Source organism: Homo sapiens, chromosome 20 (assembly GCF_000001405.40).
Source record: "Homo sapiens chromosome 20, GRCh38.p14 Primary Assembly".
NCBI classification, from domain to species: Eukaryota; Metazoa; Chordata; class Mammalia; order Primates; family Hominidae; genus Homo; species Homo sapiens.
Genome location: NC_000020.11, coordinates 36605587 through 36627448, shown reverse-complemented (window position 1 = coordinate 36627448; position 21862 = coordinate 36605587). Strand labels below are relative to the sequence as shown.

The following is a 21862-nucleotide window of genomic DNA, read 5'->3' as shown; positions in this document are numbered from 1 at the left end:
GAGGGTGCAACATTCAATCCCTAAAGCTTCTTAGAGGCCTCAGCAGAGAAGGTTCAGGAGGGTCCTGCTAGGCCCACTTCTCACATGCAGCTCCTTATCTGATCCCTCATCCCTCACTCCCAGCATCATCACTGGAATACCTGACCCCAGAGGTCCCGGAGGTGATGTTGCCTAAGCCTGCTGGAGCTTTCTGAAATTAGGACCTTATACTTGGCCTTTCTTTCTGGTGGGTCCTCCTCTAGGCTCCGCGTCCAGCCACAGCTTCCACTGTTCCCTCTGGACCCTCTGCCCACCAGCCACTCTGTAAACACCTTGTTCTTTCTACCGCTGCATCCTTACACATACCCCTCCCTCCATCTGGAAAGCCTGCCCTCCGCTTCTCCTCACGGCAAGCTCACACTCATCCTTCGCCATTCTTTCCAGTGGGACTTTCCCAGACTACCACCTACCCAGACTATCGCCTTCCCAGACTATCACCTACCCAGGCTATCGCCTTCCCATACTATGTCAATTTTTGTTCTCAACTCCCATAGCATCTTGAAAATACCTCTTCTGTAGCTATAATAGGTTTATCTCTTTTCTTTTCCTCTTTTTTTTTTTTTTTTTGAGATGGAGTCTTGCTGTCGCCCAGGCTGGAATGCAGTTGGCGGGATCTCGGCTCACTGCAAGCTCTGCCTCCCGGTTTCACGCCATTCTCCTGCCTCAGCCTCCCGAGTAGCTGGGACCACAGGCGGCTGCCACCACACCCGGCTAATTTTTTGTATTAGTAGAGATGGGGTTTCACCATGTTAGCCAGGATGGTCTCGATCTCCTGACCTTGTGATCTGCCCGTCTGGGCCTCCCAAAGTGCTGGGATTACAGGCATGAGCCACCGCGCCCAGACTTTTTTTTTTTTAAGACAGGGTCACCCAAGCTGGAGTGCGGTGGCACTATCTCGGCTCACTGCAACCTCCACCTCCCAGGCCCAAGCGATTCTCCCACCTCAGCCTCCTGAGTAGCTGGGACTACAGGTGAATGCTTCCACGCCCTGCGAATTTTTGTGTGTGTTTTTTTTTTTTTAGACGGAGTCTCGTTCTGTCATTGGGCTGGAGTGCAGTGGCACAATCTCGGCTCATTGCAACCTATGCCTCCTGGGTTCAAGCAATTCTCCTGCCTCAGCCTCCCGAGTAGCTAGGATTACAGGTGCGTGCCACCACGCCCAGCTAATTTTTGTATTTTTAGTAGAGACAGGGTTTCACCATGTTGGCCAGGATGGTCTTGATCTCTTGACCTTGTGATCTACCCACCTTGGCATCGTAAAGTACTGGGATTACAGGCATGAGCCACTGCGCCCAGCTGTATTTTTTTTTAAAGTCAGGGTTTTGCCATGTTGCCCTGGCTGGTCTTGAACTCCTGACCTCAAGTGATCCACCCACCTTGGCCTCCCAAAGTGCTCAGATTACAGGCGTGACCCACCATGTCTGGCCCAGGTAATTTTTGTATTTTGAGTAGAAACAGGGTTTGGCCATGTTGCCCAGGCTAGTCTTGAACTTCTGACCTCAGGTGATCTGCCCACCTTGGCCTTCCAAAGTGCTGGGTTTATAGGCATGAGCCACCACACCCAGCTTTTTTTTTTTTTTTTTTTGACAGGATCTCACTCTATTGCCCAGGCTGGAGTGCAGTGGCACAATCATGGTTCACTGCAGTCTTGAACTTGTGGGCTCAAGTGATCCTCCCACCTCAGCTTCTTGAGTAGCTGGAACTACAGGCGTGCACCACCATGCCTAACTTTTAAATTTTTGTAGAGACAGGATCTCACTCTATTGCCCAGGCTGGTCTCGAACTCCTGGGCTCAAGCCATCCTCCCGCCTTAGACTTCCCAAGTGCTGGGATTACAGGCATGAGCCACCACAGCTGGCTAAATTTATTTCCTAAAACAAAATCATGGCCGGGCACAGTGGCTCATGCCTGTAATCCCAGCACTTTGAGAGGCCGAGGCGGGGGAATCACCTGAGGACAGAGTTCGAGACCAGCCTGGCTAACATGGTGAAACCCCATCTCTATTAAAAATACAAAAAAATTAGACAGGCATGGTGGCAGGTACCTATAATGGCAGCTATTCAGGAGGCTGAGGCAGGAGAATTGCTTGAAACCAGGAGGTGGAGGTTGCAGTGAGCTGAGATCATGCAATTGTGTTCCAGGCTGGGCAACAAGAGCAAAACTCCATCTCAAAAAAAAAAAAAAAAAAAAAAATCAGGGTACGTGGTCTGATGAGAATAATACAGGAACTAAATACTTGAAATGAGGACCATTAAGGAAAATCCCAGCTGTGGATGTGCTGACAAGACAGCACTTATTTCCCCGAGTGTGATGATTTCATACCTGTGTCTGGGCCCAGAGCAGAGTGTCCAGCATGTGGTGGGTGCTCAGCAGATGTTTACTGAATAAATGAATGAGCAGGTGAGTACACCTATGCATGTTGAGAGGGGGAGAGAGGATGAAGAGCTGGGAGAGACTGCCCCCCAAACAGGAAGATTCAGGCTGTTTGTAGCATCAGTTCCAAGGACAGAACCAAAGTCACCTCCTCATCACCCCTAGTGACCTGCTCCCCTGTCAGTCAACTGGACCTGTGTGCCCCACAGCACTCCGTCTTCAGCTAAGGGCTGGCTCTGGGTGGGCCCTCTGTCCTCAGGGAAGGGTAGGTCTTAGTAAATGCTCAATATGTGTTTGCTGCAAATCATGCAATGATAGGCCTTCAAGAATCATTCCCAACACCATCTGTGCTCACAGACAGTAGGAGTGCAAATGGTGATGAGCTCTCCTTAAAACTGCTTGTAATCGTGGCTCCGTCCGAGTGTTTATCACAGAGACTCAGTCATTCATTCAACAAATAGATACTGTGTGCTGACTTTGTGCCAAGCACTGTTCAAAACACGAGATTCTGCAGTATGAAAAGCAAGATTCCTGCCCACAATCTAGTTGGCAAGGTGGACAGTAAACAAATAAGAAAAGAGTGTGAGAGTGATAAGTGCCAAGAGGAAACAAAGCAGCGTTCAGAGGACACAGAGTGCCAGGGTGTGAGTGTGAGTACAGGCCTCAGGGAGGCGCGTCCTCAGCAGGCGGTCAGGGAAGACAGGATGAGGGGAGTGGCGAGTTTAGAGTCAGGTCACACAGAGCCTTTCCAGGGAGAGGACTTGGGATTGATTTTAAGTGTGACAGGGAGGATTCTGAGTAGGGGCATGAGACGACCTGACCCCTCCTTCCTGCTGAGAAGAGAGGATGCCGCGCAGGAAGCCGTAGTAGGCTCTCTCCAGGTGAGAAGTGGTTGGATCTTAGCTGTGTTCTGACCACACCCAACAGGGCTTTCTGTTGGGCTGGATGTGAGGCTGAGACAGGAAGCAATCAGGAATGGATGACTCCTGACCTCTTTATCCCTGAGACCACCAACCAGATCCCAAGTGTAGCTACCCTTTCTGATTCTAATAACTGTCGTGACAGTGGCTGGGGTGGGTGGTTCAAGAACCATGCAAAAGTTATAAGGTCTTGGTCACTAGTTCAGCTGGGTTGGTTGGCCTTCTGGGCCTATTTTCAAATATTTAGCGCATTCCCAGCCACAGAATTTTTTAGGGTTACAGCACAGCTCAAGAAGAGACTCTTCTCAAAGGTACAGAATACAGGCCAGGCGTGGTGGTGCACACCTATAGCCCCAGCTACTTGGGAGGCTGAGGCAACAGGATCACTCAAGCCCAGGAGTTTGAGGCCTGCCTGAGCAACACAGTGAAACTGTCTCTAAAAAAGAAAAAGAAAAAAAAAATAAAGGTACAAAGGTCAAAGGGCTCCCAGTCAGGCAAAGAAAACAAAGAAAACGAAGCAGAGACCCTACTGGGGTCAATACACTTCTCAAAGCATATTGACTCTGGGTCACCTTACTAAATTTACTTTTAGTTCTAGTAGCTTTTTGGCAGATTCCTTATGATTATCTACATATGATTGTATTACCTGTAAGTAAAGGCAGCTGTATTATTTTCCAATCCATATACTTTAAATTTATTTTTCTTGTGTTATTGCACTTGTTAGGACCTTTAGTACAACACTGAGTAGAAGCGGTAAGAACATTATTGCTTTGTTCCCAATCTTAGATGGAAAATAATCAATCTTTCCTATTAAGCATGCTGTCGATTTTTTTTTTTTTTTTTTTTTTTTGAGATGTAATGTCACTCTGTCACCCAGGCTGGAGTGCAGTGGCCTGATCTCGGCTCACTGCAACGTCTGCCTCCTGGTTCAAACAATACCTTGCCTCAGCCTCTGGAGTACCTGAGATTACAGGCACACGCCATCATGCCCAGCTAATTTTTCTATTTTTGTAGAGATGGGGGTTTCACCATGTTGGCCAGGCTGGTCTTGAACTCCTGGCCTCAGGTGATCAGCAAGCCTCGGCCTCCCAAAGTGTTGGGATTACAGGCATGAGCCACCGCACCTAGCCTTAGCTGTAGATTTTTCACAGATGCTTTGTATCAGGTACTCTTCTGTGGTAGGCAGAATCATCATCCCCCCCAACAATGTTCAGGTCCTGATCTGCAGCACCTGTGAATATGTTACCTTACATTGCAAAAAGAGTTTGCAGATGTGATTAAGGATTTTGAGGTGGGAAGATTATTTTGGATTGTCCAGATGGACCCAATATAATCACCAGGATGCTTACGAGAGGGAGGTAGGAGGGTGAGAGTTAGAGACAGGAAGATGCTACTGGCTGTGAAGACTGAGGAAGGGGCCATGAGCAGAGGGATCCATATGGCTTCTAGAAACTGGAAAAGGGAATGGATTTCTTCTCTAGAGTCTGCAAAAGGAACATTGCCTTGCTGACACCTTGATTTTTGTCCAGTGAAACTCATTTCAGACTTCTAACCTCCAGAACTGTAAAATAATAATTTGTGTTATTTTAAGCTGCTGAATTGATGGTAATTTGTTACACCAGCAATAGGAAACTAACATATTCTATTCATCGTTTTCTGCTTTTTTTTTTTTTAATCATGAAGGGTGTTGAATTTTGTCAAATGATTTTTCTGCATTTTTTCAGGTGATCGTGGTTTTTCAGTTTTTTGTTTTTTTTTTTTGAGATGGAGTCTCGCTCTGTTGCCCAGGCTGAGTCACCACAACCTCTGCTTCCCGGGTTCAAGAGATACTCCTGCCTCAGCCTCCTGAGTAGCTGGGACAACAGGCGCATGCCACCATGCCCAGCTAATTTTTTTTTTTTTTTTTGAGATCAAGTCTTGCTCTGTCACCCAGGCTAGAGTGCAGTGGCATGATCTTGGCTCACTGCAACTTCCACCATGGGTTGGCCAGGCTGGTCTTGAACTCCTGGCCTCAGGTGATCCACCTGCCTCGGCTTCCCAAAGCGCTGGGATTACAGGTGTGAGCCACCGCACCCAGCCAATGTTCAGCTATTGATTGATTGAGACAGAGTCTTCCTCTGTTGGCTAGGCTGGAGTGTAGTGGCACAGTCATGGCTCACTGCAGCCTCAACGTCACAGGCTCAAACGATTCTCCTGCCTCAGCCTCTGGAGTAGCTGGGACCACAGGCATGTACCACCATGCCTGGTTAATTTTTAAATTTTTTGTAGAGAAAGACTCTCACCATGTTATCCAGGCTTGTCTCAAATTCCTGGCTGGGCTTAAGTGATTCTCCCACCTCCACCTCCCAAAGTTCTTGGATTACAGGCATTAGCCATTGTCCCTGGCCAATGTTTAGTTCTTATTTTTAAAATAAATTTTAATTTTACATTTATCCTCATTGTTAAGCAAGTGATGTTCAGTTTTTGTTTTTTGTTTTGTTTTGTTTTGTTTGAGATGGAGTCTTGCTCTGTCACCCAGGCTGGAGTGCAGTGGCGCGATCTCGGCTCACTGCAACCTCTGCCTCCCGGGTTCAAGCGATTCTCCTGCAGAGATCCTGCAGTGAGCCGAGATCGCGCCACTGCACTTCAGCCTGGTGACACAGCAAGACTCCGTCTCAAAAAAAAAACAACACTATAGCCTTTTTCTGCTGTTTTTAGAACCTTCTGCTACTATATCTACCACTTACACCACCACATCCATAAGCACCACCATAGGGACTGCCTGAGCTTCTTCCACCAAAACTGCCTCCTTTCATAGGTCCATAATTTGATTGCTGTTGTCCACTATAATTGCTAAAATCATTATAGTTCCCATCACCAGCATAGTTACCAGCGCCAAAATTTCCTCCTTCATTGTAACCATCATATCCTCCGCCACCGCCACCATATCCACCACCTTGGTTTTCATATCTTGCTCCACCACCACAGCAGCCCCGTCTACTGCTATAAGCAGGCTCACCATCATTGATGCCACCATCACCTCCTCCATAACTACCTCTGCTGCCACCATCTCCACCACCACAGTCTTCTCTTCCACCAAAGTTTCCACTGCAGCCAAAATTACCTCTACTACCTCCAAAGTTTCCTCTGTAACCTGTAAAATTGCCAGATCCACCTCCACGACTACTTACCATCCAGCAGGCTACCTCTGTTATTTAGTAAGGGCCTTTTTCACTTCACCATTATGCCCATTAACAGTGTGGTATTTCTGGCTGGGCGTGGTGGCTCGCACCTGTAATCCCAGCACTTTGGGAGGCCTAGGCGGGTGGATCACGAGGTCAGGAGTTCGAGACCAGCCTGACCAACAAGGTGAAACCCTGTCTCTACTAAAAATGCAAAAATTAGCCAGGCTTGGTGGTGCACACCTGTAATCCCAGCTACTCAGGAGGCTGAGGCAGGAGAATCCCTTGAACCTGGGAAGCGGAGGGTGTAGTAAACCTAGATTTCACCACTGTACTCCAGCCTGGGCAACAGACGGAGACTCTGTCTCAAAAAAAAAAAAAAAAAAAAAAGCCAGTGTGGTATTTCTGAACAATTTTAAAAACTATATCTTGATCATCAAGTTACAAAAGCAAATCCTTTTTTCGACTCTGCTTGTCTTCCATAACTTCTATGGTTTTAATCTTGCCATACTTTTCAGAGGTCTCTCAAATTATATTCTTCTGTATCTTCTTTATTTTATTTATTTTATTTTTTTGAGACAGAGTCAAGCTCTGTTGCCCAGGCTGGAGTACAGTGGCGCAATCTCGGCTCACTGCAACCTCTGCCTCCTCGGTTCAAGTGATTCTTAGCTCCCTGAGTAGCTGGATTACAGGCGCCCACCACCACGCTCAGCTAATTTTTGTATTTTTAGTAGAGATGGGGTTTCACCATGTTAGCCAGGCTGGTCTTGAACTCCTGACCTCGTGATCTGCCCGCCTCGGCCTCCCAAAGTGCTGGGATTACAGGTGTGAGCCATCGCGCCCAGCATTGTTTTTATTTTTTCTTGAGGTGGAATCTCGCTCTGTCGCCCAGGCTGGAGTGCAGTGGCATAATAATTGCCTCTGCCTCCTGGGTTCATGTGATTCTCCTGCCTCAGCCTCCTGAGTAGCTGTGACTATCGGCTCACACCACCACACCTGGTTAATTAAAAAAAAATTTTTTTTTGGCCAGGCACGGTGGCTCACACCTGTAATCCCAGCACTTTGGGAGGCCGAGACAGGTGGATCACAAGGTCAGGAGATCGAGACCATCCTGGCTAACATGGTGAAACCCCGTTTCTACTAAAAATACAAAAAAAAATAGCCACGTGTGGTGACAGGCACCTGTAGTCCCAGCTATTTGGGAGGCTGAGACAGGAGAATGGCGTGAACCCAGGAGGCAGAGCTTGCAGTGAGCCGAGATGGCGCCACTGCACTCCAGCCTGGGTGAGAGAGCGAGACTCTGTCTCAAAAAAAAAAAAAAGAAAAAAATTTGTACAGACATGGGAAGGGGGTCTCTATGTTGACCAGGCTGGTCTTTAATTCTTAGCCTCAAGTGACCCTCCCACTTCAGTCTCTCCAATTTTTTTTTTGACACAGAGTCTTGCTATATTGCCCAGGCTGGAGTGCAGTGGCGTGATCTTGGCTCACTGCAACCTCCTGCTCCCAGGTTCAAGCAATCCTCCTGCCTCAGTCTCCCAAGTAGCTGGGATTACAGGCGTGTGCCACCATGCCTGGCTAATTTTTGTATTTTTAGTAGAGATGGGGTTTCACCATGTTGGCCAGGCTGGTCTTGAACTCCTTACCTCAGGTGATCCACCCACCTTAGCCTCCCAAAGTGCTAGGATTACAGGTGTGAGCCACCGCACCCAGCCTTTTTTTTTTTTTTTTTTTTTTTCCCCCAGAGTCTCACTCCATTGCCCAAGCTGGAGTGCAGTGGCGTGATCTCAGCTTACTGCAACCTCCACCTCACAGGTTCAAGCAATTCTCTTGCTTCAGCCTCCCAAGTAGCTGGAATTACTGGCACCAAGCCTGGCTAATTTTTTTGTATTTTTTGTAGAGATGGAGTTTCACCATGTTAGTCAGACGCATCTCAATCTCTCGACCTCAAATGATCTGCCCACCTCAACCTCCCAAAGTGTTGGGATTACAGGCGTGAGCCACCAAACCTGGCTTCTAGATACTTTTTTTTTTTTTTTTTTTTTTTTTTTTGAGATGGAGTTCACTCTTGTTCCCTAGGCTGTAGTGAAATGGTACAATCTCGGCTCACTGCAATCTCCGCTGCCTGGGTTCAAGCAATTCTCCTGCCTCAGCCTCTCAAGTAGCTGGGATTTATAGGCATGTGCCACCATACCTAGCTAATTTTATATTTTTAGTACAGATGGTCAGGCTGCCTTGTTGGTCAGGCTGGTCTTGAACTCCTGACCTCAGGTGATCCAACAGCCTCTGCCTCCCAAAGTGCTGGGATTACAGGCTTGAGCCACTGCGCCCAGCCTAGATACCTTTTCCTTATTAATTTCTAATTTAATTCCATTGTGGCCAGACAACATATTTTTAATGATTTCAATCCTTTTAAATTTGTTGGCCGGGCACAGTGGCTCACAGCTGTAAACCCAGCACTTTGAGAGGCCAAGGTGGGCAGATCACAAGGTCAGGAGTTCAAGACCAACCTGGCCAACATAGTGAAACCCCATCTCTACTAAAAAAACAAAAAAATAGCCGGGCATGGTGGCACGTGCCTGTAGTCCCAGCTACTTGGGAAGCTGAGGCAGGAGAATCACCTGAACCTGAAAGGCGGAGGTTGTGGTGAGTCAAGATCATGCCACTGCACTCCAGTCTTTTGAATTCTATTGTCTGATATTAATATCCCACTAACATTCTCCCATTAATAAGCCATTCTAGCTTACTTATGGTTGTCTGCATGATATATCTTTTTTCCATCTTTTTACTTTTAGCCTTTTTTTTTTTTTTTGAGACGGAGTCTCGCTCTGTCACCCAGGCTGGAGTGCAGTGGCACGATCTCGCCTCACTGCAACCTCTGCCTCCTGGGTTCACGCCATTCTCCTGCCTCAGCCTCCCGAGTAGCTGGGACTACAGGCGCCCGCCACCACGCCCGGCTAATTTTTTATATTTTTAGTAGAGCCAGGGTTTCACCGTGTTAGCCAGGATGATCTTGATCTCCTGACCTCGTGATCTGCCTGCCTCAGCCTCTCAAAGTGCTGGGATTACAGGCTTGAGCCACTGCGCCTGGACTAATTTTTTTGAGACGGAGTCTCACTCTGTCGCCCGGGCTGTAGTGCAGTGGCTGATCTCGGCTCACTGCAACCTCTGCCTCCTGGGTTCAAGCGAGTCTCCTGCCTCAGCCTCCTGAGTAGCTGGGATTACAGGCGCACGCCACCACGCCTGGCTAATTTTTTGTATTTTCAGTAGAGATGGGGTTTCACTGTGTTAGCCAGGCTGGTCTTGATCTCCTGACCTTGTGATCCGCCTGCCTTGGCCTCCCAAAGTGCTGGGATTATAGGCGTGAGCCACCGCGCCCGGCCCATTAACTTTTGTTTTAATTTTTTTTTTTTTTTTTTTTTTTTGAGACAGGGTCTCACTCTGTCATCCAGACTGGAGTGCAGTGGCACAATCTTGGCTCACCGCAACCTTCACCTCCCGGGCTCAAGCAATCCCCCTGCCTCAGCCTTCAGAGTAGCTGGGACTACAGGCATGAGCCACTCTGCCCAGCCTTGTTTATTTATTTTTTTAATTGAGATGGAGTCTCGCTCTGTTGCCCAGGCTGTAGTGCAGTGGTGTGATCTCGGCTCACTGCAACCTGTCTCCTGCGTTCAAGCAATTCTCCTGCCTCAACCTCCCAAGTAGCTGGGACTACAGGCGCACACCACCACACCTGGCTAATTTTTTTTTTTTTTGTATTTTTAGTAGAGGCAGGGTTTCGCCACATTGGTCAGGCTGTTCTTGAGCTCCTGACCTCAGGTGATCCGCCCACCTCGGCCTCCCAAAGTGCCGGGATTACAGGCGTGAGCCACTGCACCCGTCCCCGGCCTTGGGTTTTTTATTTATTTATTTATAGAGTCTTGCTCTGTTGCCAAGGCTGGACTGCAGTGGCACAATCTCGGCTCACTGCAACCTCTGCCTCCTGGGTTCAAGTGATTCTCCTGCCTTAGCCTTCCAAGTAGCTCGGACTACAGGTGTGCACCACCACACCCAGCTAACTTTGGTATTTTTAGTAGAGATGGGGTTTCACCACGTTGGCCAGGGTGGTCTCGAACTGGGATTACAGGCGTGAGCCACTGCCCCTAGCCTGTTTTAATATTTTAAATGTGCTTATATGGCCAGGCACGGGGTGGTTCACGCCTATAATTCCAAGTACTCAGGAGGCTGAGGCAAGAGGACTGTTTGAGCCCAGGAGCTGTGATCATGCCACTGCACGCCATCTGGGCAACAGAGCGAGAGCATGGCTCTAAAAATAAATTAAAATCTGGCTGGGCGCGGTGGCTCATGCCTGTAATCCCAGCACTTTGGGAGGCTGAGGCAGGCGGATCACGAGGTCAAGAGTTCGAGACCAGCCTGGCAAATATGGTGAAACCCTGTCTCTACCAAAAATACAAAAAATTAGCCGGGCGTGGTGGTGGCAGGCGCCTGTAGTCCCAGCTACTCGGGAGGCTGAGGCGGGGGAATCACTTCAACCCAGGAGGCGGAGGTTGCAGTGAGCCGAGATTGCACCACTGCACTCCAGCCTGGGCAACAGAGGGAGACTCTGTCTCCAAAAAAAAAAAAAAAGAAAATTAAAATAAAAAAAAAAAATGAAAAAATGAAACATGCAAAGCTGGTGAAACTGTCATTCATCAGTGTATGTAATGTATACATGTAGGTTGAGCAGCACTAATAAAACTGACATCCACGCGCCCACTTGCCAGCTGAAATTACCTAACAAGCCCTTTGTAGCCCCCTCTCATGCTTCACTGTGTTAATCATTCAGTTGCTTTTCTTCAGAGCTTTGCCGTGTGTGCCTGTGCAACATATAATGTCATGTTGGCTATCTTTGAACTTTAAATAGAATCAGGCTGAATGTATGCTCTGTAATGTTTTTCTGCTTAATTTCCAAGATTTCCTTATGCTTATATGTAGCAGTTATTAATTTTTACTGCTGTATAGCACTACACTCTATAATCCACAATTTATTCTACTCTTGAGCACAAACGGGCTGTTTGCCGTTTTTGACTTTTACAAACAATGCCGCTGTGCATATTGCTTGTGTGCTTCTGAGGTATTGTGCCTGGGAAGAACTGCTGGGTTGTAAGGTACGTGCATGTTCAGCTCATCTAGTTAATGCCAAACTGTTTCCAAGGTGGCTCGTACTAATTTCTCTTCCACCAGCAGGGTGGGAGGTCCTACTTCTCCACTTCCTTGCCAGCATCTTCTTGACAGTGTTTTTGCATCCTAACATATCTGCCACCTGAGTCTTTGTAAGAACAGCCAACGCTGAATGTTCACTCACACAGTGCCAGACCCTGTACTGAGGGCTCTGTGTGTGATTTGATTTCACCCTCACAAGACCCCCATCTATTATGAACATATTATTGATGACCAAGAGAGCAAGTCTTTGTCCTGCTTCTGCCCCAGACACTTCCCTTCTGCCGGGGCCCCATGGTCACGTTGCCTATCTTCGTTTCCCAGCCTAGGTGGGGCCGAGTCCCAGCAGGGCCTCAGTGCCACCCCTGGACCCCTTTCTCCTCAGGCTCTTACTCTCTGTCAGTCCGCCTCAGCCGCCCTGCATCCTGGGACCGGATCAGACACTACAGGATCCACTGCCTTGACAATGGCTGGCTGTACATCTCACCGCGCCTCACCTTCCCCTCACTCCAGGCCCTGGTGGACCATTACTCTGGTATGGCCTTTCCCTGCCTCCAGGACTAGGCTGGGATAGTCTGTGGGGAGGAGCAGGCAGTGGTGCCCTTGGATATTTTACCTACTGTGGAGTATTCAGACAGACAGAAGAGCGGCCTCCCCTATTTTCACGCCAGTCCCTATGCCAAGAAATGCAGGCTGGGAGCCCTGTCTTCACCTCGTGCCCTGGCAGAAAAGCCACAGACCTCCTGTGTAGGCTCAGGTCAGTACCTTGCCTACCACTCTGGTTCTGACTCAGAGCCCCTGGCAGCAGGCAGAGTTCTCTCCACAGGAACCGGGCACAGAGCTGCTGCTGTGTGGGATTCAATCCTGACTCTCCTTAGTACTTCCTGGTGCCTGTCCTTCAACAGACACTGGAAGATGCAGTCACTGGGCACAGCGTCAGGGGGCAGAGAGGGAAGAGCACTCTTGTGAAAACTCATTAGGGGTTTTCTGCAGGTCACTCTGTGTGGAAGTAGACAGTGAGTAGAAGTAGACTGAGCATTCCTTAGCTTTCTTCTTCCCAAAGCAATTTCCTAACCAGAAACTTGAGCTCAAGAGGTCCATGAACTCACCCTAAATCATACAGTGACTGTCTCCCAAAAGTTAGCCCAGAAAGACCTTTGACTACATCTGTCTCCATGAAACCAATAGCTTGGGGCTCATGTCCTATCACTCTTTGGTAACCATGCCCCCTCCTGCCAACTGCAGAGGGCTGTCAGGGTGAGGGCTGTTGGGGAGAAGTAGGGTGGAGTCAGTCATGTCAGGGATGGAGGTCTCTTCCTCAGAGCTGGCGGATGACATCTGCTGCCTACTCAAGGAGCCCTGTGTCCTGCAGAGGGCTGGCCCGCTCCCTGGCAAGGATATACCCCTACCTGTGACTGTGCAGAGGACACCACTCAACTGGAAAGAGCTGGACAGGTAAAGTTGGGGACTCCTGGAAACATGAAAGCAGGACCAAGAGTTAGAAGGACCCACCCCTGGGAAGCCACAACCCGGAATGTACCTGTCACACTCAGGGACACCTGGCAGCTGGAGCCAGAGTGCACTGACTCAACTCCTGGAGCACGGCCCAGGCTCGACAGGTGGGGCTGGGGAAGCTGATCTGATAGGGAACAGGGGAGCCCCATGAGGTCCTCAGCAGGAGTGAAGGGTTTTGAGAACAGTGCAATTTTGTGTGTAGTGAGTACAGGGAGGAGGAAGAGGCTTCTTGACCCAATTATCTTCCTTTGTCCACAGCTCCCTCCTGTTTTCTGAAGCTGCCACAGGGGAGGAGTCTCTTCTCAGTGAGGGTCTCCGGGAGTCCCTCAGCTTCTACATCAGCCTGAATGACGAGGCTGTCTCTTTGGATGATGCCTAGGCCCAAAGGAGAGGCCAAAAGGGAAACCAAGGCTGCACACCTAGAACCCCAATTCAGCCTCCTGGGCACCCCAGAGGCAAGGCTGTGCACTCAGGGAGGGAGGGTGGGACACAGAGGTGCATCTAGGGTCCCACCTGTACCCTTGCTCTTTCCTCTCTTAGCCCTTAGAAGTCACCTACTTCCTTCCAGTGCCATGATCCCACCTGCGACCTCTAGTGCGAGTGCAGAGAAGGTGGGACCAGGGCCAGGGTTCCAAAAAGAGAATAAGCCTCCTGGGGGGTCTGACCTAGTTAGTTCTTGAGTTTGGGGTTTCCAGTACCATCTGGATGCCCTGCCTGTTGAGCCCCATTCTACATCCCCACCATTAACCAGGCCCCACCCACAAGGTAGAAACAACCCCTAGAGTCAACGAGAAAGTCATTTTCAGAAAATCTACAAGTCTCGTTGAGACCACCACCATACCTCAGAAGGTAGGACTGTGGCCTAGAAGGGAAAGGAAAGCTGAGATGATGTCTTACCGTAGCAGCAGATCTTGGATGGTCCAGGCTCTATGTGACCTCCAGAGCAAAGAGAAAGACTTCGGACAGTCTAGGTCCTCAAATGTCCCCCATTGAGGACAACAGCCCCAGCTCTTTTTCTTTTTTTTGAGACGGAGTCTTGCCCTGTTGCCCATGCTGGAGTGCAATGGCACGATCTCAGCTCACTGCAACCTCCATCTCCTGGATTCAAACAATTCTCCTGCCTCAGCCTCCAGAATAGCTGGGATTACAGGCGTACACCACCATGCCTGGCTAATTTTTTTGTATTTTTAGTAGACATGGGGTTTCACCACATTGGCCAGGCTGGTGTCGAACTCCTGACCTCAGGTGATCCACCCACCTTGGCCTCCCAAAGTGCTGGGATTACAGGTGTGAGCCACGGCACCCAGCCTAGCTCTCAGATCTCTATTTCATTTTGTGGCTTACCATTCCCTAGCACACTGGCCTTGCCATCTTGTGGCCGAATAAAAAATAACACCTCTTAAGTCTAGCACACTGCAGTGAGGCCAGGCACCTCAGTGCTGGGCAGGGGCATCAGAAGGTGCTAAGCCCTCTCTCCACAATGCCAAGACGGAGACCACAGCCTACACCAAATCCAGCCCTTGATTTCCCTGCTGCCTCCATAAACAGAAAGAGGTCTGCTGGATCCGCTAAGGGATCAGGGAGAGGAAGAAAGAGGGATGGGGTGGGAGGCACCCCCTCCAGTGCTCCTACTGGTTCCCAAGCTACAGGTGGGGTGGGAAAGGCTTTATCAGGTATCATCAACAGGTTCTCAATTAAAGATTTGATTTATTCAAGTATGTGAAAACATTCTACAATGGAAACTCTTATTAGATGCTGCATGTACTGTGCTATGGACCACGCACATACAGCCATGCTGTTTCAGAAGACTTGAAATGCCATTGATAGTTTAAAAACTCTACACCCGATGGAGAATCGAGGAAGACAATTTAATGTTTCATCTGAATCCAGAGGTGCATCAAATTAAATGACAGCTCCACTTGGCAAATAATAGCTGTTACTTGATGGTATCCAAGAAGAAATGGTTGGTGATGGATAAATTCAGAAATGCTTCCCCAAAGGTGGGTGGTTTTTAAAAAGTTTCAGGTCACAACCCTTGCAGAAAACACTGATGCCCAACACACTGATTCGCGGTCCAGGAAACACGGGTCTTCCAAGTTCCAAGGGGCTGGGGTTCCCCAACGATCAAGTTCCTGTGCTGTAATCAAGAGGGTCCTTTGGACTGGATAGGGAGCACTTGGGAGCTGTACACCATCAGTCATAATGGATGGCAGTGTAAAAGATGATCCAAATGACCTAGTGAGGAGACAAGCACTGTTCATAGGTCACCTGGCTTAACACAGGCCGATTCCACAAAACAAAAATGCCAGATGAGAATGTAAACACGGGGCACTCTCCAGGGGCTATCCGTTGCACAGTCTGCTTGGGGGGTCTAAATTATTTCACTGAAATCACGCTGTCACTAACAGAACCCAGGACTGCCCTCCTGCACTTGCAAAGGAACTCCTGATAAGCTCCTCCCCTACCAAATGGCAACCCCAGGCCCAGGGAATTGAGGTGCAGATGTGGAAATGATTCAAGTAAAGCATATTACACTGCTAGCAGGTGCTGCGACTACCAATGTGAAAATACTATAACTTGTCAGCTGCATATCAAAGCAGGGATTCTCAAACCTTGGCTACCCATTGTAATCTCTTGGTTCTTTTAAAAAAACATATAGATGCCCCAGCACTACATCTCAAAAGATTTTATTGGTTTGGGTTAGAGTCTGGACACATAAGGTTTTGTGGTTTTTTTTTTTTTTTTTTTTTTGAGTCCTGCTGGGACTCAACAGGTACACACCACCACTCCTAGCTATTTTTTTTTTTCCCCTGTAGAGATGGGTTTCACCATATTGCCCAAGCTGGTCTCGAACTCCTGGACTCAAGCAGTCTGCCTGTCTCAGCCTCCTAAAGTGCTATAATTACAGGCATGAGCCACCATGCCAGGCCATGAGTATAATTTAAAAAAAAATGGGCCAGGTGCAGTGGCTCACACCTGTAATCCCAGTACTTTGGGAGGCGGAAGCAGGCAGATCACCTGAGGTCAGGAGTTCCAAGACCAGCCTGGCCAACATGATGAAACCCCATTTCTACTAAAAATACAAAAAATATCCGGGCATGGTGGCTCACACCTGTAGTCCCAACTACTCGGGAGGCTGAGGTGGGAGGATCACTTGAGCATGGGAGGCAGAGGCTGCAGTGAGCCAAGACTGCGCCACTGCACTACAGCCTGGGTGAAATGGTGAGCCTGTGTCAAAAAAATAAAGCGTACAGTTGAGAGGCTTTCTGTATAGGAACAGTTGTGCAAACATCACCACTGATTCCAAAACATTACTCCAAAAAGAGCCTGTTTCCTTTATCAGCTACTCTCCATCCCCTCCTCCCAGCCACTGGCAACCACTAATCTACTTTTTGCCTCTATGGCTTTGCTCACTGTGGAGATTTTGCATATGGAATTACACAACACATGGTCTTTTGTGTCTGGATTCTTCCACTTAGTATGATGTTTTAAGGTTCATCCATGTTATATAGCATGTATCAGGACTTCATTTTTTTTTTTTTTTTGAGACGGAGTCTCGCTCTGTTGCCCAGGCTGGAATGGAGTGCAGTGGCGCGATCTCGGCACACTGCAAGCTCTGCCTCCCAGGTTCACACCATTTTCCTGCCTCAGCCTCCCAAGTAGCTGGGACTACAGGCGCCCGCCACCATGCCCAGCTAATTTTTTTAAGTAGAGACAGGGTTTTACCATGTTAGCCAAGATGGTCTTGATCTCCTGACCTTGTGATCTGCCCGCCTCGGCCTCCCAAAGTGCTGGGATTACAGGTGTGAGCGACCGCGCCCGGCCACTTCATTCCTTTTTAAGGCCAAATAACATTCTACTGTATGGATACATAGTATCTTATCCATTCATCAAGTGATGGTCATTTGGACTGTTTGTACTTTTTAGCTATTATGAAAAATATTTCCTAGTTTCCTTTTTGAGATGGAGTTTCCCTCTTGTTGCCCAGGCTAGAATGCGATGGCGCGATCTTGGCTCACTGCAACCTCCGCCTCCCGGGTTCAAGCGATTCTCATGCCTCGGCCTCCGGAGTAGCTGGGATTACAGGCGCCCGCCACTACACCCAACTAATTTTTTGTATTTTTAGTAGAGATGGGATTTCACCACGCTGGCCAGGCTGGTCTTGAACTCCTGACCTCAGGTGATCCTCCTGCCTTGCCCTCCCAAAATGCTGGGATTACAGGCGTGAGCCACCATGCTCAGCCCTCCTAGTTTCTAATATCTAGCCAGGCTTGAGAATCAGATGTAGAAGCTGACGATGGGCCCTGGATTTACACATTACAGGGGACTGTACAGTATATCAGACCACATCTTCTGGGATGTGGCTCAACACAGGCCATGGCCCTGAGCCTCAGAAGCCTTTAGAAAAATAGCACCCTGCTCACACAGTGTAACTCAATCAGTGGGGTCCCCTCCTGTGAGTGACACCTCATGAAATGAACAGTACCTGTTGTAAAACTATCAGCTACACATACCATGAACAAGGCAAAAGAGGTCATAAACCCTTCCTTCGTGAGCTCCCACGTGCCACCATATTCTTCCTCATCAATCTGTAGGTAATTGCTGAAGTAGAGGTACAGGACTCCTGCATTGATCAGGCAGAATCTGGAGCAACAGAGAACAAGTACCAAACATAAATTGAAAGCTTAGAAGACTCAGAACTCGGGGCCGGGTGTGGTGGCTCACACCTGTAATCCCAGCACTTTGGGAGGCTGAGGTGGGCGGATCACTTGCGGTCAGGAGTTCAAGACCAGCCTAGCCAACATGGTGAAACCCCATCTCCACTAAAAATACAAAAACTAGCAGGGCATTGTGGTGGGCGCCTGTAATCCCAGCTGCTCAGGAGGTGGAGGCAGGAGAACTGCTTGAACCCAGAGGCGGAGAGGTTGCAGTGAGCCGAAATTGTTCCACTGCACTACAGCCTGGGCAACAGCGAAACTCTATATATAGTGTGTGTGTGTGTGTGTGTGTGTGTGTGTGTGTGTGCGTGTGTGCGTGTGTGCGTGTGTGCGTGTGTGTGTGTGTGTGTGTGTGTGTGTGTGTGTGTGTAATATAGTTCTCCAAAGCCCCTTGAAGTAACAGAATGGCTGATAAGCCATCCCAAGCGGGACCTGACATGGGCCTCCAGGTAGCTCCAGCTAGGGTGTGGCTATGGGAGAAAAACATGTGAAGCTGCTGCTTCGTAGCCTAGTTGAGCAAGCAACAGTATACCCCCTGTATAACTCCCAGTGGGAGACCATTTCTGGATATCCACTGTCTGTTATTGCTACGGGATGCAAACGTAAAGATGACTGTTCCTGCCCTCAGCTCACCATCAATTAGGGGGCTAGGAACAGCAATGAGCCGGGCATGGTGGCTCATGCCTATAATCCCAGCACTTTGGGAGGCCAAGACAGGCGGATCACCTGAGGTCAGGAATTCAAGACCAACCTGGCCAACATGGCGAAACCCCGTCGCTACTAAAAATACAAAAAATAAGCCGGGCATGGGGGCAGACACCTGTAGTCCCAGCTACTTGGGAGTCTGAGGCAGAAGAATTGCTTGAACCTGAGAGGTAGAGGTTGCAGTGAGCCGAGATCACGCCAGTACACGCCTGCCTGGGCGACAGAGAAAGACTCTGTCTTTAAAAAAAAAAAAAAAAAAAAAAAAGAATGAGACCGATGCCAGACCTGCTGACTCATGCCTATAATACCAACACTTTGAGAGGCCAAGAAAGGAGGATCACTTGAGCCCAGGAGTTCAAGACCAGCCTGGGAAATGTAGAGAAACCTTGTCTCTACAAAATTTTTAAAAATTAGCCAGGTGTGGTGGCTCACACCTGTAGTTCCAGCTACTTAGGAGGCTGAGGCAGGAAAATCATTTGAGTCCAGGAGGTCGAGGCTGCAGTCAGCTGTGATGGTGCCAGTGTGCTCCCACCTGGGCAACAAAGTGCGGCCCTATCTCAAAAAAACAAAATGGAGGGACCTGAAATAACTTCTACCAAAGCCAAGGTTTAGGACATTAAGCACTGTGCCAGGAACAAGGGAAATGGTCGTCAAATACAGAAGTTCCTACTTCCCAAACTCGCACAGGTACAAAGGTCACAGCAGAACTAGAGTGCATGCCACGAACAAGTAGTCATAGCCTCTTGCATGAGGTCACTTTAGACCCATGAATGAATGGACTGGCCCAGCCTTCAGGAAGGCAGGAAGGTAACCTGCCTGACCTGAGATGCTCCTGAGGAGTGGTGCACCAGACCCAGGAGTGCCACTGTAGGGCTGCTTCTTTGCTTTAGTCATCACACACACACACAGCTCCAGAGCAGCAATGGCCTTTCCTGTAACAGGAAAAAAAGCCTCTATTTAAAAAGAAATGATACCATGAAAATATAAGATACCCAAGACTTACCCTGCTATTCCCAAGAACCCTCGTAATGGCAAAACTCCCCAAATGACACCCAGGACCACAGCAATGATCTGTCGGAACCAGTAGATCACATCTAAAAATTCATCCTGTAGAAAAGACAGAAAATGCAAGAATTATCTGGAGTGGGTGCCACAAGACAGCAAAAGGGGAGAATATTAAACCTTTCTGCTAAACATATCCAGGAAATTTGTTTCCCCCCAAAGGCAACAGTATGTGCTTCCTGTTTCACCTCTTACTTATACTAAAATGTGGTAGAAATGATACATTTAGGGGCTGGGCGTGGTGGCTGAAGCCTGTAATCCCAGCACTTTGGGAGGCCGAGGCGGGTGGATCACCTGATGTCAGGAGTTCAAGACCAGCCCGGCCAACATGGTGAAACCCTGTCTCTACTAAAAATACAAAAAATTAGCCGGGTGTTGTGGCGGGCGCCTTTAATCCCAGCTACTTGGGAGGCTGAGGCAAGAGAATTGCTTGAACCTGGGAGGTGGAGGTTGCAGGGCAACAAGAGTGAAACTCCGTCTCAAAAAAAAAAAAAAAAAAAGATACATTTAGACATCATTAAGCGATCACTTCCAGAATCTGTGCTCTAAATCAAAATTCTAGAGGTGCATATATAATATGGCCTGTAATGAAATGACTGTGATAATAATTGTGCTACTGGCCGCACATACGGATTAGAACCATAAATGCTGGAGGCAGGTGCCACTATATTTAAGTTTAATGGAAGAACACAGACGACTCAGGTTTCTGATCTGCCCTAGATTCCAGAAACCAGTCCTTATACAAGAAAAGAAAGAAATGACACAGCAGATTAGAGACTGCAGGTTTTGCAAGAGCTGGGCAGGGCTGGGGGCAGAACAAGGGCACCTTCAGGAAGTGCCTCCCATCCCCCTTTACAGGAACTTCAGGAAGGAAAATCCACTTCGGCAGCCCAGAAAACCAAGAAATGACTGCAAATATAATACGCTTTTCAAGCTACCTGGAATCAAGCTGTTTGTGATGGCCCCTTCCAGATCATGGAGCAGAGTTACGAAGCATCCTCCGAATGGGACGAGTAAGAACGTTCTGAAGTCCCAACCAATTCTCGCACATATCTGGTGGCGTTTCTCCACCCCCACACCTCACACTCACCCAGCGGGTGGTCTCAGTCTCCCCTCTTGACTCATGCTTATCAAAGTATTCGGTCCTTTACATTCAACAAGCAACAGCAGCTCAAGATTAGCGAGCCTCACTATGTGCAAAAGGCTTTAATGTACCACAGTACCCCACTTCAGAGTTATTCTGAGTTAAACGAGATTCCGCTTGCAGAGCACCTGGCACGTAGAAAGCATTCTCAGCAGAAGTCTGTTACTGTTAATGTTTGTGCTACTTAATTCGAAAGAAACAAGTAACCTACTCAAAACCCTACTGCACATAAAAGGCGGAGGCCGAATCGAATTCAGCTCCCTTTCCCAGTTCAGGCACAAACCCTGCCCGCGAATGACAACGCCTCTCCCCGCTCCTCGCCAATTCCGCATAACTAGGGGGCTTCATCCTTAGGCCACCCTTCGGGGAGCTCCAAGCCCAGCTGTCCGCCCAGTGCCCGCCAAGTTTGCTCTGACACCCTTGGGCCACCCGCCCCACTGCCCTACTCGATTGTGCCGGAACGAGGACGAGGGCAGGCCCGCGCCAGTCTTCCGTTCCCCGAGTCCCAGCCGACTCCTCGCACCCGCGCCCTGTTCAGACTCCACCGTACCTTATCCTCCCAGGCCGCGTCGCTCCGCAGCACCTTACTCCAGACGGAGACTTTGAGGGCCCCGTTGGCCAGCTGCGGCTGAGGCGGCTCCTCCTTCCGCCGCCCGCCGCTCATCCTCCCGTCGCGCCGCCCGGGCCGGGCCTGGGGCGCGCGGGCTGAGCCAAAGGGAGTCGGGGTCTAGGGTCGCAGGTCACGGCGCGGGGCGGCTGCAGGCTCAGCGGCCCGGTCCTGCGGCGCGCTGCGGTTCCTCACAACCTGGCCAAGCTACCCGGTTCCGCCGGCTCTACAGAGCAGGCGCCGCGAAGGGAGGGGCGGTGCAGTGTCGCGCGCCCTCCCGCCGACGTGCTCACGCAGCCAATCGGCGACCGCGAAGCCATCCGAGTGAAACAGCGACCGGCGCCTTGGCGCAAGCGCGCTACTCGTGGCGGAAATGACGTCAGCATCCGCCGGGCTCGCGGTAAGGTGTGAGGGGAGGGACA

At 49.3% G+C, this 21862-nt stretch overlaps 3 protein-coding genes and 1 pseudogene across 10 annotated transcripts in view, besides 2 other annotated features; 1 reads left to right on the top strand and 3 right to left on the bottom strand.

Moving 5' to 3' along the window:
- The window catches only part of SLA2 (Src like adaptor 2), a 33879-nt gene extending 18748 nt beyond the window's left edge, over nucleotides 1-15131 (top strand). Inside the window, exons 6-8 of one of the 2 annotated variants that reach the window (NM_175077.3) lie at nucleotides 12075-12224; nucleotides 13062-13144; nucleotides 13463-15131. In NM_175077.3, the coding sequence (NP_778252.1) occupies nucleotides 12075-12224; nucleotides 13062-13144; nucleotides 13463-13480 (251 nt within the window). In that variant the 3' untranslated portion in view covers nucleotides 13481-15131. Of the gene's footprint in view, nucleotides 1-12074; nucleotides 12225-13011; nucleotides 13145-13462 lie in introns of both variants that reach the window. The other variant, NM_032214.4, reaches the window with a different exon arrangement.
- On the bottom strand, nucleotides 6010-7047 carry HNRNPA3P2 (heterogeneous nuclear ribonucleoprotein A3 pseudogene 2; annotated as a pseudogene).
- RAB5IF (RAB5 interacting factor) lies at nucleotides 14892-21670 on the bottom strand. 7 transcript variants are annotated; one of them, NR_164351.1, is made up of 5 exons: nucleotides 21384-21670; nucleotides 19631-19734; nucleotides 19449-19580; nucleotides 17719-17848; nucleotides 14892-15439 (listed from the first exon to the last, which is right to left on the bottom strand). NR_164351.1 is itself a non-coding variant. In NM_001199534.2 (4 exons), the coding sequence occupies exons 1-4, from the start codon at nucleotides 21495-21497 to the stop codon at nucleotides 15402-15404; spliced, it is 414 nt and encodes a 137-aa protein (NP_001186463.1). In that variant the 5' UTR covers nucleotides 21498-21670; the 3' UTR covers nucleotides 14892-15401. The 7 variants fall into 7 exon arrangements, 4 of the variants coding, with proteins under 4 accessions (NP_001186463.1, NP_001361107.1, NP_061328.1 ...); NR_026562.4 differs by having other exon boundaries at nucleotides 19449-19559; NR_164350.1 differs by lacking the exon at nucleotides 17719-17848 and having other exon boundaries at nucleotides 19449-19559.
- TGIF2-RAB5IF (TGIF2-RAB5IF readthrough) overlaps nucleotides 14892-21862 on the bottom strand; it is a 38043-nt gene continuing 31072 nt past the window's right edge. The window contains exons 3-5 of the mRNA NM_001199535.2: nucleotides 19631-19734; nucleotides 17719-17848; nucleotides 14892-15439 (exon numbers count right to left, since the gene is read on the bottom strand). Coding sequence (NP_001186464.1) covers nucleotides 15398-15439; nucleotides 17719-17848; nucleotides 19631-19734 — 276 coding nt within the window. The 3' untranslated portion in view covers nucleotides 14892-15397. The remainder of the gene's footprint in view (nucleotides 15440-17718; nucleotides 17849-19630; nucleotides 19735-21862) is intronic.
- Nucleotides 19326-20525: an enhancer, noted in NCBI's record as "MED14-independent group 3 enhancer chr20:35235327-35236526 (GRCh37/hg19 assembly coordinates)". NCBI's record gives its function as "activates an origin of replication core promoter dependent on BRD2, BRD4, P300/CBP and CDK7 cofactors, and independent of MED14, by STARR-seq in HCT116 cells {active_cell/tissue: HCT116}" and the evidence as "EXISTENCE:reporter gene assay evidence [ECO:0000049][PMID:35650434]".
- Nucleotides 21367-21676: a silencer, noted in NCBI's record as "silent region_12876". NCBI's record gives its function as "represses an Ori minimal core promoter by ATAC-STARR-seq in GM12878 lymphoblastoid cells {active_cell/tissue: GM12878}" and the evidence as "EXISTENCE:reporter gene assay evidence [ECO:0000049][PMID:35858748]".

Excerpts from the sequence above, each read along its gene's own strand:
- RAB5IF (NM_199483.3), bottom strand. The coding sequence starts at position 21,497 with ATGAGCGGCGGGCGGCGGAAGGAGGAGCCGCCTCAGCCGCAGCTGGCC. Across the intron at positions 19,735-21,383 it reads ACGCGGCCTGGGAGGATAAG|GATGAATTTTTAGATGTGAT; the intron begins GTACGGTGGAGT and ends TCTTTTCTACAG. Across the intron at positions 15,440-19,630 it reads GGGTTCTTGGGAATAGCAGG|GTCATTTGGATCATCTTTTA; the intron begins GTAAGTCTTGGG and ends TCTCCTCACTAG.